Source organism: Homo sapiens, chromosome 6, assembly GCF_000001405.40.
Source record: "Homo sapiens chromosome 6, GRCh38.p14 Primary Assembly".
Classification (NCBI taxonomy): Eukaryota; Metazoa; Chordata; class Mammalia; order Primates; family Hominidae; genus Homo; species Homo sapiens.
The window spans coordinates 27,789,913-27,806,033 of NC_000006.12; the positions used below are offsets into that span (position 1 = coordinate 27,789,913).

The 16,121-nt window shown below is 41.8% G+C and overlaps 2 non-coding genes across 2 annotated transcripts, besides 3 other annotated features; both read right to left on the bottom strand.

The window, feature by feature from the left end:
* Window positions 1,393-1,562: a silencer, noted in NCBI's record as "silent region_17040". NCBI's record gives its function as "represses an Ori minimal core promoter by ATAC-STARR-seq in GM12878 lymphoblastoid cells {active_cell/tissue: GM12878}" and the evidence as "EXISTENCE:reporter gene assay evidence [ECO:0000049][PMID:35858748]".
* TRQ-CTG6-1 (tRNA-Gln (anticodon CTG) 6-1) lies at window positions 1,444-1,515 on the bottom strand. The gene has a single exon. It is a non-coding gene; the product is annotated as a tRNA-Gln (tRNA).
* Window positions 2,785-2,864: a silencer, noted in NCBI's record as "silent region_17041". NCBI's record gives its function as "represses an Ori minimal core promoter by ATAC-STARR-seq in GM12878 lymphoblastoid cells {active_cell/tissue: GM12878}" and the evidence as "EXISTENCE:reporter gene assay evidence [ECO:0000049][PMID:35858748]".
* Window positions 3,095-3,164: an enhancer, noted in NCBI's record as "active region_24306". NCBI's record gives its function as "activates an Ori minimal core promoter by ATAC-STARR-seq in GM12878 lymphoblastoid cells {active_cell/tissue: GM12878}" and the evidence as "EXISTENCE:reporter gene assay evidence [ECO:0000049][PMID:35858748]".
* TRQ-TTG3-3 (tRNA-Gln (anticodon TTG) 3-3) lies at window positions 5,949-6,020 on the bottom strand. Its single transcript has one exon. It is a non-coding gene; the product is annotated as a tRNA-Gln (tRNA).
* Between the last annotated feature and the right edge of the window lie 10,101 nt (window positions 6,021-16,121).

The window sequence follows — 16,121 nt, forward strand, 5'->3', positions numbered from 1 at the left end:
GCAAGATCTTGGCTCACTGCAGCCTTCGGCTCCCGGGTTCAAGCGATTCTCCTGCCTCAGCCTCCCGAGTAGCTGGGATTACAGGTGCGTGCCACCGCACCCGGCTAATTTTTTTTTATTTTTAGTAAAGACGGTGTTTCACCGTGTTAGCCAGGATGGTCTCCATGTACTGACCTCGTGATCCGCCCGCCTCGGCCTCCCAAAGAGCTGAGATTATAGGCTTGAGTCACCGCGCCCGGCCTAAAGGTGATTTTAAAATAAATTGTGATGGCACAGCTAACTTTACCTATGAAGGAAAACAAAGGTAGACCTCTCAAGTGTGTAAGAAATTAAGTTTCAGATAGATTACTGATTTAAATACAAAACATAAAACAACAACACATGCAGAGGAAATTAATAAGATAACTCAGAAGAAAAAAATATTGACTTGGAAACTGTTACACAAGACATATTTGAGCAAGAATGGATTAATAAAAATATGCTTCTATGAATGCCTTCAAAATCATAATAAAAATACAAACCATCTTAAATCAAATGTACACAAATAGGAAATTTACAGAAAAAAATGTACTTGAAAAATAGAAACGAAAGAGTCTGAGCATGAGATGACAAGGGAGTTGCTTTGTCCTATTACGATATTATTTTCATCAAAACACTGTCTTTAAGCTATTTTAATCCCTTGGAATCTTTAAGAATTGTAAAAATATTTTTGTGCTTTCACACATTGTTTTCCAGTGGTGTTCTAAAATGTTTCTTTACAAATTTAAATCATTCTAAAGAATGTAATTGCCAGCATATGATGAAATACAAATTAGAAGTGTCTAATGACTCAGTGAAATTTGTGTATTGGAACCTAAAAGCTAACAACCTGGCATGTACTAGGATTCTTTAAAAATATACTTAGCATAATTATATTTAACAGTTGAAAACGTGCATAAATTCTTTTTCTATCTTTAAAAGATATTTCTATTCCATATCTTCCATAGAATTTTAAGCCCACTATATTACACGTTTATGCTTAAAGGCTATGACTGACTGATCACTCCATCATAGCATTCTGAAACAGATTTAAAATTGATATATAATTTTTAGCCCCTACCAGTAATTATCTGTATTTTAAGTGTTTTTCCTCTGGCTTTAGTTGTTTTTAAATTTAATGGTGGTATTATGTAATCAATAAAAATTAAGTATATAATATTTGATAAGTACTTATAAATATATAAAAAATAAAATTGTGTTGAAAATATATCATTTATAATGCCTTACAAAAAAAAAAAAAGAAAATACATCATTTAACAAAAGGGATAAATCTTCCCACACACCATTTAACTCGTGTGTTTGTGAATAAAAGCTCCAGGATGGAATGAGAAAGGTGTGTAGAAATTGCATGATTGCCTTTATATCACAGAGAAGTCATACGACTGAAACTTGAAACAGCAGACTGGGTCCCACCGAGATTTGAACTCGGATCGCTGGATTCAGAGTCCAGAGTGCTGACCATTACACCATGGGGCCAAGTTCTTAGCGATTTTCCCTGAATTCTTTCATGACCTAGTTCTTCCTTTCTAAAGTCTGATGTGGTTTTCCAATGTCAGCACACCCCACCCTTCGCACCCCAGACCTTTCCTTCCAGGGGGTTCAGAAACTTGGTGCCCCCTCGGGCTTCTGTTTCTTCACTGGAAAAAAAGTGAAGTCGTCGAACAAAACCGAGCCCTTATCGTGTGCCAGGTTTTGTGACTAGTGTTCTGTATTGTTACCTCATGGAACGCTCACAGTAACCTGGTGAGATGCGAACTATTGTCTTTATTTTACAGGTGAGGAGCCTGTGAGAGACCTGAGATCTTTTATTCTGCTTTGTGATCAGATCCTATTGCTTTCACAAAAAAACGTCGTTTATTAGGGGTGGTGTATGGCGCGTTTGAGGACGTGCGTGGAAAGATTTTCCCAAGTTGCAGAGGAGACGTTGGTGTTTACGGAAAACTGAAATAAGTGAACTTGCAAGACAAGACTGGAGGAAAATCCCAGCATTCCTGGGAGCTCAACTGAGGGGGCGAAGGGAAGGGGAAAAGGAATGCCCCTCGGGAGTTTCCCGGGATAGCGCGCGGCCCCACGGGCTTCCTACTGCCGGCTCACCAACGGGAAATATGCGCAGGGGAGACTCCCAAACGGACACAAAAAAGATTCCTCATCCCTGCTTCTCATACCCCCTTTTTCGCACATACACAGGAGCCCATACTGTGAAAATCCACCCCCTACACCACAGCTGATTGCTGCGATGGGTCTCTGGGGATGTTCTCAGTCGGCCCTACCCTAGCATCTTTATAAACGCCTCCTGGTGGCTTTTAGCTGAGTAGGAGCGCCACGATATTCAGTACACATTTAGAAGCGAGCGCTTCAGCAATTTCCTTGTGGTAGAGAGGAATGCAGCTCTGCTCCAAGTAGTTTAACCTAGATTCGACGCCTGTTCATGGACAGCGTGCTTAGTGCAAATTGAATGTAACAGTTTGCAGGTTGGGGTTGGTTTCCGGGATTTCAGATTTTTAAACGGACACACCGACACTCTGGAAGTGGTCTTCGAGGACCGCATGCTCCCTCTTGTGGATGACAACAGTTCCCAACGCCAAACAAACAAGAAAACCACAACCCAGTAACTCTCCCTGCAAATACAGGCTTCTTTTTATCAGGATTCCTGCTGGATTTCTTTGCAACGGAATTTTTGCAACTGGCTGTCATTAGGCAAAATCTTTAAATTCAGTGTTTTCTGGAAAGCTGGGTTGGGAGTGTTCCTCAATCTTAGACTAGGTCTATGAGAAACAAATTCACCGTCCAAACCCAAAGAATGGACTCAGAGACCCGGAGAACAGCAAAAGTGAGAGTTTAACGACGATCTTGCAAGATCGGTTGTCTGATGAGCGGGCACACCCAGCACACTTTGAACAACCGATTTATCCCGTGGTGCGCAGGTCCCTCCCCGGGTTCCTCACAGGGTGAGTACTATGGGGTCACAACCTTCCCGGATGTCGCCTATTGATTGTTGGTTAGAGGCTTTAGGTGTTTCTTTAGGGTTGTCTTGCTGCATTTTGTTGCAGCCCACAATGCATTGCAATCCTAGTTAGCTCGGGGGCTCTTTAAGTATTTGACTTATGACCTAAGTAGCTGGGCAGGCTGATAAGAACAGACAAAACGAGCAATGTTGCAGGCTAGTAAACTTTCATCTTAGACTGAACTTTGGTTCGGGTGAGGGCGACTAAGAGGCGGGGAAAGAGAGGCGAGCCGATAAGCAGGCATCGCTATCCAAGCAGGGGCCTAGTGTATCCTGTTTCTTCTATAATTTGCTTACCTAAGACGATTTAAGGCACTTTGTCTTGGAAATGGACCACTGTATACATGATTTCCTTTAGGTCGAGGATGGTCAAGGACAGTCCTGTTTGCACAGAGGTGGCAGGAAACTCTCAGGAGAGAGGATAAAAATCCTCCAAGGGAGATTCCAAATTTTCAAGCCGTGGTGGAGACAAGAAAAGTTCCTTAAAAAAAAAAAAAAAAAAAGTGCTTACAAAGAGGATGATTTCAAACCTGAGTGGAGAAAGCCCCATAGATTTCTTGTCCCTGGACATAACCAGCCAGACATGAATATACTAGTTCAATCACATTTTCCAATGCCAAAGAGGAAAATAGTTCCTTTTTTTTTTTTTGAGACAATCTCCCTCTGTCACCCAGGCTGGAGTGCAGTGGCACGATCTCGGCTCACTGCACTGCAACCTCCGTCTCCTGGATTCAAGCAATTCTTGTGCCCCAGCCTCCCAAGTAGCTGGAATTACAGCTACCACACCCAGCTAATTTTTGTATTTTTAGTAGAGACAGGGTTTCATCATGTTGGCCAGGCTGGTCTCGAACTCCTGACCTCAAGTGATCCACTGGCCTTGGCCTCCCAAAATGTTGGGATTACAGGTGTGAGCCACTGCACCCCGCCCTAATGTTCTTGACCATGTGGGGTACCTGATAGGTTAAAAAAAAAAGAAGTGCACCACGTGTAGAACGGTGCCTGTGTCTTGAGCAGCGACTTCTGGGTTAGCATAAAGAATACATCTGTGCTTTTCCTGGGCTATCTCCTATAGCCTTCTCAGACTCTCACTCTCAGGCCAACTGTGATGAGAGCAGCAAGTTGAAATTCTATTGACCATGGTGAGAGTAAGTGCTGGGTTCAGAGGTTACCGTCTCCTCCCTGTATTCTCAGAAAGGACACAGGATTTATTAGCTTAAATCTTTGCTTATAGGTAGCAATTAAAAATCTTCAATTTAATCCAGAATGTTTAGTTACTACCTTCCAGAGGCTAGGCTGGTGTCAGGCCCTGGGCTCCCTACAACCGATAAGTACCCAAACTAGGCATATATGGACTTCTGGACCACCAGCCAAGAATGTAGTGAAAGGAACCTTTCTTCCAAGGTGAATTCTCTTCCAAAAATGTGAAAATATAGTGATCTAATCACATACCTCCCATCCCTATTTTAGCTATTAACTGAAAGCCCTCATTAAGATACTGTCATAATTGAAATTCATCCCCAGGGAGACTTCTGCTCCAGTCTTGGGTGAAGACTTGTTCATAGAGTGAATGTAGACTTGGGATCAGTGAAGGAAAAAGAGTGAAAAGAAACTTGTGAAGAAGCAGAGCAGAAAGATGTGCAACCAAATGGAGACAGGCTACCCTGGATTCCAGGTTAATCAAATCACATTAGATAAAAGTTTATGCACTCAGCAAGTATTTTTGAACGAACATGAGCCAGGCAAAATGAAACTGAAAAATGAAAGGTGAAAAAGACCACAGTACTGGTCTCTCCCCTAGGAGAACTTGCTGTCTAGAGTAAGAGGGAGAGCTTATTAAATGAGAATTAAATTATGAGGTGGTGTGAGAAGGAGATTGAGGGTGTTGAGGAGACATAGATGGGGCATCTAAGCTCCTATAAAGGGAGCCCAGTGAAGGCCTCAGTAAGAAGGTCTGGAAGGTCTAAGTTAATATTTGAAGAATGAGTAAAAGAACTAGCTCTCATAACGTGAGGGTAGAGGGGAGAACAAAAATGTGTTGCAAGTAGAAAATGAGAAGAGAGGGAAAAAACAAAGAATAGAAATAATTTTACCATGGCCGGTGACTAAAAGCTAATTTTGGGCTCTGTGTGTGGCAGGAATGGTGATGGATGAGGCTGGAGTTGTGTGCAAGTTAGGGTAGCAATCACTAAAATGCAAAAAATCTATCTCAAGCAAAAGGGAAAGGACTTGTGTGAGAGTCTCTAAGACGACAGCAAGGCCTGTGTGCTGATGAGCTGCTGCCAGCAGTTTGACAGTACCATGCCTATCAACTTAATCAAAGTGCAGAGGCTTTACCAAAAATAAGTCTAAGAAAGAACTTGAGAAATTTGCAACCAGGATAGGATGAGGTAGCCTGACCATTTGCTAATCCAGTACACTTTTCATGTGTGGGCTTGAATCCCATCCTCACTGAAAGTGTTCCATGGAGAGTGAAGCCTGGAGGGACAACAGTACCACTACAAGTTTGTTAACCTCAAATCAGATATTTATCACTTCTCATGTTAGATACTTTTTTTTCCCAGAGATAGAGTAATGTGGTCATTCTTTTAAAAACAGGCATTTCTCTATTATGCACACATACATGCCTTTCTAGGAATCAAGACATGGGGAGACATTTCAGACAGGCGCCTCTGTCCCATCTGTGTCTGGGAACAGGTTACAGAATTAGGGAGTTGTTCCTGGTAGTGTTGATTGTGCACATGGGCTTTGCTTCCACAGGTGGTCTCACACTTCTGAGGACTGACATAGATACTACTGCTAAGAAGATACTATGATGTATGGTGGACTGGATTACAAGGAATCACTCTAGTTTTAAGAGACAAGATAACTGGCAGAAGTGGGAAAAAAAAAAAAAAAAGAGCCAAGAAGGTCCCACCGAGATTTGAACTCGGATCGCTGGATTCAAAGTCCAGAGTGCTAACCATTACACCATGGGGCCACCTATAAGCCTGCTTATGAAGTTTTTCTTCTGACAAATATTTATCCCTGAGTCACTAGCTCTTAACTGCTAAGTATGAAATAATGGGTTTTTAAACAAAACTGTACTGCCCTCTACAGGAGTATTTTGGAAATGCCTGGGTGTTTTGCTTGTTTCAATGACTGGGGCACAACTGGCTTTCACAGGTCAGAACCAGAGATACTGGGAATCTTGCAATGCTCAGGACAATACTGCATAAAGAATTAACCATAGGAGTGCACAATTTTTGCAAAACGACCTTGGATCTTTCATCTAGGTTTTCTGGGGCCTTTTCTAATAGTAAAATCCGTGCTTCCATCCTTGTTTGTACTCTCCCACTGAATCATCCTCTCACATACAATTACAATGCTGTGTAGGACCTTGTTAGGATTTTGACTTTTATTCTGAAATGGGAAGTCACAGTTTCTGGTTGGATGTCCTGAGAGACTCACCTTCAGAATCTTGAGCTACTCTATGACAAGTCTGACCACTCTGAAGCCACCATACTGTTAAGTAGCTCAGGCCACACATGTAGATGCTCTGGCTGGTAGTCCCATGCCACAGCCAGCATCATTTACCAGCTATGCGAGTGAAGAGGCTTCCAAATGATCCCAGCCTTCAGCGGTTATCCCAAGAATCACCCTAAGCTGGTGAGTTTACACCTGATGCTCTAGACATCTTGGAGCAGAGGTAGCAATCCCTGCTGTGCTCTGTCCTATTTCCTGACCACAGAATCCATGAATATAATAATATGCTTGTTTTATGCCATCAAGTTTGGGGCTAGCTTGTTATGCAGTAATAATAACCAGAAAAACTCCAGAAACAGGAATTGTATCTATCTACAGTGAAAAGAAAATAAATATCAGGACCCCAAATCACTAACATAAAGGGAAAAGTCAAGCTGGGAACTGTGACAAGCAAAGCTGCCTCCCATTTTACTCCTAAATAAGATAGTTACAAAGTTTTATTTTATTTTATTTTATTTTATTTTATTTTATTTTATTTTATTTTATTTTATTTTATTTTATTTTATTTTATTTAAAGCTACATACCTCAGGCCGGGCGTGGTGGCTCACGCCTGTAATCCCAGCTCTCAGGGAGGCAAGAGGCGGGAGGATAGCTTGAGCCCAGGAGTTCGAGACCTGCTGGGCAATATAACGAGACCCCGTTCTCCAGAAAAAGGAAAAAAAAAAAAAAGACAAAAAAAAAAAAAGCGTAAAGCTACATACCTCCCTCACAATTTGCCCACAAGGAAATTCTTTGTGGACCTCAAGATCTTTACCCTAAAACAGTTCTGTTGAATTTCACCCTGGCAATGTAAGTTGATAGCTTATCTTCACAGAGGCAGGACAGAAAGTCATCCCTCTGTTCACCTGAGACAAATGCATATCTGATTGCTTCTTCTGCCCTATTGTTTATGTAAAAATGCAGATTCACTAAGTGGACTAAGGAATAAGTAATTATTTCTCTATCCATCCTCACATGTAAATTGTGTATTAAGGGAAAGGCTAATCAGAGACTCAAAAGAATGCAACCTTTTGTCTCTTATCTACCTATGACCTGGAACCTTCCCCCTACCCCACATTTTGAGTTGTCCCTTTCCAGACTGAACCAATGTACATCTTAACATATTGATTGAAGTCTCATGTCTCCCTGTATAAAACCAAGCTGTGCCCCTACCACCTCGGGCACATGTCATCAGGAGCCCCTGAGCTGTGTCATGGACACGTCCTTAACCTTGGCAAAATAAACTTTCTAAATTGATTGAGACCTGTTTCAGATACTTTAGGTTCACACTACTCTCTCAGTGTTGCCCAAAAAGCCTGTCTCAAATTTTTTGCCACCATAAATAATGCCTTAGTGAATATCAGTGTTCATGTTTCCTTTGTTATGTATCTTCAAAAATGGTGTTTACAAAATTGTTGGCCTGGGAGTCTGAAAGAGTGGGATAAAATGCGGAAAAGTAAAAAACTTTAAGTAGATGATTAAAGAAAATTCCCCCAAAGATACCCTCTATGTGCTATGTACTGTTATTATATGAAGCAATAATAAGACATTTGTTGGGTATCATTCACTCAGTATTGCATTTAATGCACTGGTCTTGGTGATGGGGTACAGCTGAGACCAATACTCCTTTATTAGAATTTATCCCTTTATGCATCATTGTACAAGAATATCATTTGCTTTCCTAGATCTAGATCTTAGCAGGGGCAGAGCCATTTTCTCTTTTTTATTTTGTGGTGCATTTTTTCAGCAGCTATTTAGAAAATGTGCAGGTTTTTGAGGCTCTATGTAGGAATCATTTTGGGCTAAGAGCCAAGAAGGTGAACGATGAAGCTCAAAACTTCTTACCCACCCCATGGCTGTCTTTGCTCCCACCACTATGGCCTAACCTGCTGTTCCCAGAACATGCTAAGCAGAGCCTGCCTCTGGTACTTTGCACTCATAGTTCCTTCTGCCCCAAACAGCTTCCCCCAGGTAGCAATATACTCTCTCACCAGTTTATGCCAATGACAGTTCAATGAGACCTCATTTGTATGCCCTCCTTAAAAATGCAATCTCCAGCTCCCTATCCCCTTTCCTGCTGTATTTTTATCTAAACCACTTATCAAGGTGATGACATGTTATGGAATTTAATCCCACCTCAAAGTACCATAAGAACAGGAATTTTAGCAGGCTATTTTCAGCGTGTATTCTCAATGCTAATATATTGTCTCTCATATATTAAGTGCTCAATAAATGTTTTTTTGGTTAAGTAAGTTAATTTCCTTTAAGCTGGCTGATGGGGTCATATAGAGGTAAAATTACTGGCTCTGAGTGATTTTCCTCACTTATAAATATAATTTGCAGTAATTTCTATATTATTCTTTTCCTCTTAATGCATGGTGATAATTATTTCCCTGTTACATATGTCTTTTTTGTTTGTTTGTTTGTTTGTTTGAGACAGAGCCTCGCTCTGTTTCCCAGGCTGGAGTTCAGTGGCGCAGTCTTGGCTCACTGCAACCTCTGCCTCCCGGGTTCAAGTGATTCTCCTGCCTTAGCCTTCTGAGTAGCTGGGATTACAGGCATGTGCCACCATGCCCAGCTAATTTTTGTAATTTTAGTAGAGACGAGGTTTCACCATGTTGGCCAGGCTGGTCCTGAACTCCTGACCTCAAGTGATCTGCCCACCTCGGCCTCCCAAAGTACTGGGATTACGGGCATGAGCCACCATGCCTGTCCTACATATATCTTATTCATTGTCTTATTCAATCATACAACTTCCTGATAAAATGAGGCTGATTTTCACCCCTATTTTGCTGTTAAGGAAACTGGTATAATGAGTGTCACTGACTTGTTTGTGATCACACAGTGGACAAAATGGCATTTGTTTCTTTGTGGTGATCTCACAAAGGTCAAGATGACCTTAGATCCTCAGTTTTGGCTGTTTTTTTTTTGTTGTTTTTTTGTTTGTTTGTTTGTTTTACACCAAGGAACCAGGTTCTAGCTCCTATGTTTGTTCATTGCATGGAAAGGAACAGGAAGATCTGGGGGCCACTGAATGGAAGGTTAGATCCATTTTCTTGGTTAAGCTTGTAGGTTTTCTCGTCTCTTTTCCTTCCTGCAGCACAATTCTTATGAATGGCAATATCTTCTATTAAAATTCTCAGTCTGTAGTCTTCTTGTCCATACAGAAAATAGATTTCAGGTCAACACATTTGATAGTCTGGACTGTGCTAACTGCTCCAATATTTGAGTACATCTTTTGGGGATGTGGGAATTTAGTGTTGTAGGCCTCAAGTGGGGTTCGTTCCCAGAATTTGGAGAGGCTATAGAAATATAACCTGGTTGGCCAGGCACGGTGACTCATGCCTGTAACCCCATCAATGTGGGAGGCCGAGGCAGGTGGATCACCTGAGGTCAGGAGTTCGGGACCAGCCTGGCCAACATGGAGAAACCCTGTCTCTACTAAAAACTTTTAAAAAATTAGGCGGGCGTGGTGGTACGTGCCTGTAATCCCAGCTACTTGGGAGGCTGAAGTAGGAGAATCCCTTGAACCCGGGAGGTGGAGGTTGCAGTGAGCTGAGATCACACCATTGCACTCCAGGGCAACAGAGTGAGACTCCATCTCAAAAAAAAAAAAAAAAGAAAAAGAAATATAACCTGGCCATAATATAAGCATAAATAAAATAGATGACATTCTTTCAAAGCTTTTCTTAGCCTCTTATGTTTCTCAGATATTAAATAATCGGGCCAGGCACAGTGGCTCACGCCTGTAATCCTAGCACTTTGGGAGGCCGAGGCGGGCAGATTAACTGAGGTCAGGAGTTCAAGACCAGCCTGGCCAACATGGTGAAACTCCATCTCTACTAAAAACACAAAAAATTAGCCAGGTGCAGTGGCACGCGCCTGTAATCCCAGCTACTCGGGAGGCTGAGGCAGGAGAATCGCTTGAACCTGGGAGGTGGAGGTTGTGGTGAGCAGAGATCGTGCCACTGCACTCCAGCCTGGGCGACAGAACGAGACTTCATCTCAAATAAAAATTTAAAAAAAAAATAGTCAAATGCAAAATAAAGTAACATTCCAGCAATTTAATGACAGATATTGAAGCCACCTTTGCAAAATTATGACTGAGACAGAGAAAGAGATGGAATTTAACCAACTCCGTCTTGCTTCTAACCTCCAAGCCATCCTTGTTCATTCCTGGGTGTAGGCTGAACTAATTTAGGGAGAAACTTAGTTTGTAGTTTATAGTTTAAACAAAGATGGTAACAGCCCTTTCCCAAAGCAGACCTCCTTCTTGCCTTGGGACTGGATTGCCTTTGTAGGACTAACATTAGCCACAAGATTAAAAATTATGGCAGCTGGAGGCTACAAGATTCTAACCCTCCCTAACTGCTCCTAAGATCAGTGCTTGAGATATTTTGCAGACGCTGCACTCAAGATGGGTCAGATAGCACCACCCAGATCTATTAACTGGCTCATCTGATCCTGTAGCCCCCACCCAGGAACTGACTCAGCACAAGAAGAGAGCTTCAACTCCCTATGATTTAATCTCTGACCATTCAGCACTCCTGGCTCACTGGCTTCCCCCCATCCACCAAGTTATCCTTAAAAACTCTGCTCCCCAAATGCCCAGGGAAACTGATTTGAGTAATAAAACTCCAGTCTCCTGCACAGCCAGCTCTGTGTGAATTACTCTTTCTCTATTGCAATTCCCCTGTCTTGATGAATCAGCTCTGTCTAGGCAGCGGGCAAGGTTAACCCCTTGGGTGGTTACAATATGTACATGGGAAAGTGGTTGGCCTGCTTGGAATTGGAACAAAGGCAAACTAAGCATGATGATTATCAATGAGTTGCAGCCCAAAACCAACCAAGGAAGGACTATTAGTTCATGCTAGATTGCCTGTGTGGCTGTTTAAGACAGGATTCCACCAACAGTAAGAGAGACAAGTTTTAATCCCATTCAAAATTATGAAACTATTCCTTAGTAACCAGGCTGTTTCATTTACTTTGATTTGTTACTTACTAAAGCAATTTCTGATTAACAATTTGTGGTCAGTTCTAAGTCCAGGCACATCTTCCACTATAATTAACACAATGAGTTCTAGCTTTACTATTTTCTTATAAGTTTTGTTATTGTGAATATATCCTTCAGATGCAAGCATCCCAATAAAATCTCTGCTTGAAAAGGCCTGGTGCAATGGCTCACGCCTGTACTCCCAGCACTTTGGGAGGCCGAGGTGGGCGGATCACCTGAGCTCAGGAGTTTGAGATCAGCCTGGCCAACATGGTGAAACCCCGTCTCTACTAAAAATACAAATATTAGCTGGGTGCGGTGGTGTGCACCTGTAGTCCCAGCTACTTGGGAGGCTGAGGCATGAGAATCGCTTGAACGTGGGAGGCAGAGGTTGCAGTGAGCAGAGATTGCACCACTGCACTCCAGCCTGGGTGACAGCGAGACTTCGTCTCAAATAAATGAATGAATGAATGAATGAATAAATAAATAAATAAAATTCCCACCTGAAGCATTCCATCAGTACATCCAGGTTATAACAACCGACACTCATGGAAACATTGCAGAGGAAGGCAGGCTAGGGGAGAATGTCAGGTTTGCAGGACCTTCTTTGGTATGGTACAAATGTGTCCCCCAAAATTAATGTGTTGGAAACTTAAGCCCCAGTGCAACAAGGTTGGGAGGTAGAGTCTTTTGGAAAATGTTTAAGTCATGAGGGCTCTGCTTTCAGGAATGAATTAATGCTGTTATAAAAGGGCTTGACAGAGGAAGGGAGTTCATCCCTTTTTGTCCTGCCATAGGAAGACATAGTGTTACTCCCCACAACCTTCCCCCAAAGACACAGGACTCAAGGTGCCAATTTGGAAGCAGAGACCTGGCCTTCAGCAGCCATGGAATCTTCTAGGACCTGAATCTTGTACTCCCAGCCTCCAGAACTGGGAGAAAAATAAATTCCTTTATAAATTACTCACTCAGATATTCCGTTATAGCAGCACAAATGAACTGACGTTGCTTAAGGTTTTCTAGCCTTAAATGCTATGATTATTCAATTATAGCTCATATCTTGTAAATATGTTCTGAGACAGGCTGAAGAGTAAGTTCTTATAAGGGAACATGAGGTTGTAATGAAAAAAAATCAATTTAGAAAAAAGCTTTTATGAAAGAAGTTGAGGACTGTACCTACGTTAAGCATGAAAATAACAAAAACAAAAAAATACCCTTATTCCTGACAATAAGCCAAAATGTTCATTTGAGAGAAGTATCACCTAGAGGGTAGACAATAAAGCCCTGTTGAAGGATACGTATGCTCTCTTATTCTCCTGTTATGAAATAAAATCCTCTTCCAGTCTTTTTATATTTCTTCATGTCAAATATCCATTCAGGCCTACTCCTTCTTATAATTTAATACCTACTAATAAAATTTTAGAACATGGCCTTGCAAATAATTTTTTTTTTTTTTTTGAGACAGGATCTCACTCTGTCGCCCAGGCTAGAGTACAGTGGCTCGATCTCGGCTCACTGCAACCTCCACCTCCCGGATTCAAGCGATTCTCCTGCCTCAGCCTCCCGAGTAGCCGGGATTATAGGCGCGAGCCACCATGCCTGCCTAATTTTAAAAAAACTTTTAGTAGAGACGGGGTTTTACCATGTTGTGTTGAGCAGGGCGGTCTCGAACTCCTAGCCTCAAGTGATCCGCCTGCCTCGGCCTCCCAAAGTGCTGGGAATACAGGCATGAGCCACCGCGCCTGGCTATACATTTTTTTTTTTTTGAGACGGACTTTCGCTCTTGTTGCCCAGGCTGGAGTGCGATGGCGCCATCTCGGCTCACCGCAACCTCCACCTCCCTGGTTCAAGCGATTTTCCTGACTTAGCCTCCCGAGTAGCTGGGATTACAGGCATGCGCCCCCACGCCCAGCTAATTTTGTATTTTAAGTAGAGACGGGGTTTCCCCATGTTGGTCAGGCTGGTCTCAGACTCCTAATCTCAGGTGATCTGCCCACCTCGGCCTCCCAAAGTGCTGGGATTACAGGCAGGAGCCACCGCGCTTGGCCCTATAAAATCCTAATTAACAAAATCATTCACACACACACACACACACACACACACACACACACACACACACAGATGTAAGGGCATGGTCTCTCTTCCTTGAAGCTACGGAATTACAATTCTCCTTCACAAAGACAGTCAAAGGATGTGATCTGATGTGTTAGATTTTCTCTCTCCTGTTCAATATGGAGTTTTGCATCTTAGTTTCTTTGGGCCGCTATAAGAAAATACACTAAACTAGGTGACTAACAAATAACAGGATTTTACTTCTTACAGTTCTAAAGGCTAGGAAGTCTAAGATCAAGGAGACACCATATTCTATGTCTAATGAGGCTCACTCTCTGCTTCATAGATAGCATCTTCTTGCTGCAACTTCGTATGGTACAGGGGGTGAACAAGCTCCCTCTTTTATAGGGGTACTAATCCCATTCATGAGGACGCCATCCTTATGACCTATTCACCTCCCAAAGGCCCCACCTCTTAATACCACCATAATGGGGATTATGCTTCAACACAAGTATTTGTTTCTTGTTTTTGTTTTCAACATAAATATTTGGAGGGTAACCATTCAGATCATAGTAGTACCAGTATCCAAAACTGCCACCAAATAGTTTGTTGTAAGTTAAGATAATTGCAGAGCATCACTTAACTTGAAAAGCATTTTCTAAAATGTCCAAATATTAGACACAGTTGAATATCCCATAGATATATATCTATTCAGTGTGCAATTTTGATTCATTGGCTTATTTAGTTATATATTGTGACGGTAACAATGCTCTATTTGGGCCGGGCGCCGTGGCTCACGCCTGTAATCCCAGCACTTTGGGAGGCTGAGGCGGGCAGATCACCTGAGGTCAGGAGTTCAAGACCAGCCTGGCCAACATGACGAAACCCTGTCTCTACTAAAAGTACAAAAATTAGCCGGGCGTGGTGGGGCGTGCCTGTAATCACAGCTACTCAGGAGGCTGAGGCAGGAGAATTGCTTGAACCCCGCGGAGCTTGCAATGAACCCAGATCACGCTATTGCACTCCAGCCTGGGCAACAAGAGTGAGACTCCGTCTCAAAAAAACAAAACAAAACAAAAAACAATGCTCTATTTGACATATCTCTTTTTAACTGGTGACAAATACTTGTAAGAGTCTAAAAGAGACTAATAGTACTTTCTTTTGCTTTTTCTCCCACATGGTCTGACCAACAAAGAAAACTCTATGACTGCTAGATTAACAAATAACTTCAGAGTCTGCTCATTTAAATAAATGTTATTTAAGTAACATTTAAATAAATAGTGTTAAATTGGCATCTGGAATTATGTGTAAAATATTTCAGAATCTCACTTAGTAAGTCCTTCTCAGATTATATCTAGTTGTTTTATCCTGAAGTCCTCATTTTGAGAAGCCTGCCGTGATACAGAAGGAGGCCACTGGTGTAGCATAGTCACAGACTACTTGCTCAGCCCCGTGGGTGCTCCCTTCTGCCTACCCCTGACTTTAGCCACACCACAATATTTCTGCGTTTTTGAAGGTGACACCCATTTTCTTATTGCCCAGAATGCTATTTGGCACTCTTCCCACTCCCACCCATAATATTATTTATTCTGTGCTCCTTAGGCTTTTTATTCATATCTCTACTGCAGCATTTATCATCTTATAATGTGTGTTTTACTGATAATCAAGTGAAGTGATTCTTTACGCTATTTTTTTTTATGGATGGACAATACACACATAGGATTCAAAATTCAAAGACCATAAGAAGTTACAATGAAAAGATCCTCCATCCATCCCTGTCTGTAGGACATCCAACTTTCTCTTTCCTCAGAGGCCACCACTGATAGCAATTTATCCAGTATCCTTCCAAAAATATTTTACATTTATACACACACACAAACACACACAAAATTCTACTGCACATTATCCTGTATCTTGCTTTTATTGCATTTGACAGCAAATTTTGGAAATCATCCCATTATTAGCACCTGGAGAAGCCGTATAGTATACACTGGTTATAAATAGGGATTCTGAAACCAGATTCTGGTTTTGAATCATGTTTTCACTACTCATTACCTGTTACCAACCTAAGTAACAAACATAGAGGCTCTCTAAAGACAAATACATTTATTTGGGAATAAAGCATTGTAATGGGAATCCATATGCTATAAAGTACATGTGTATTCAAGGAGGTAAAGGAAGACAAAGGTTTTTAAAGAAAAAAATAAGGAGGGTTACAATAACAAGGGCGATGCCAGTCCAAGGTTGGGAAGGCAGTTGTTGGACAAATGGTCTTGTAGAAGTATTTTTTGTGTGTGTAAGGTTTTGATGGCCTGTGTTTATGGTTGTGGCTCTTACCATCTTTTGTGATAGTTTTTGTTATTAGGCATACAAGCGTGAGAACTTTCTCTTTATGGCTTTTCTTGGCTCTGTGTCAGGATTTTCTTAACATTAGTGATTTCATTTTGATTGACAACTTTCCCACTGTACAATTTCACACTTTAGGCAATTTACTCGAGCTCTCTGAACCCCCATTTTATGATCTGTAAAAC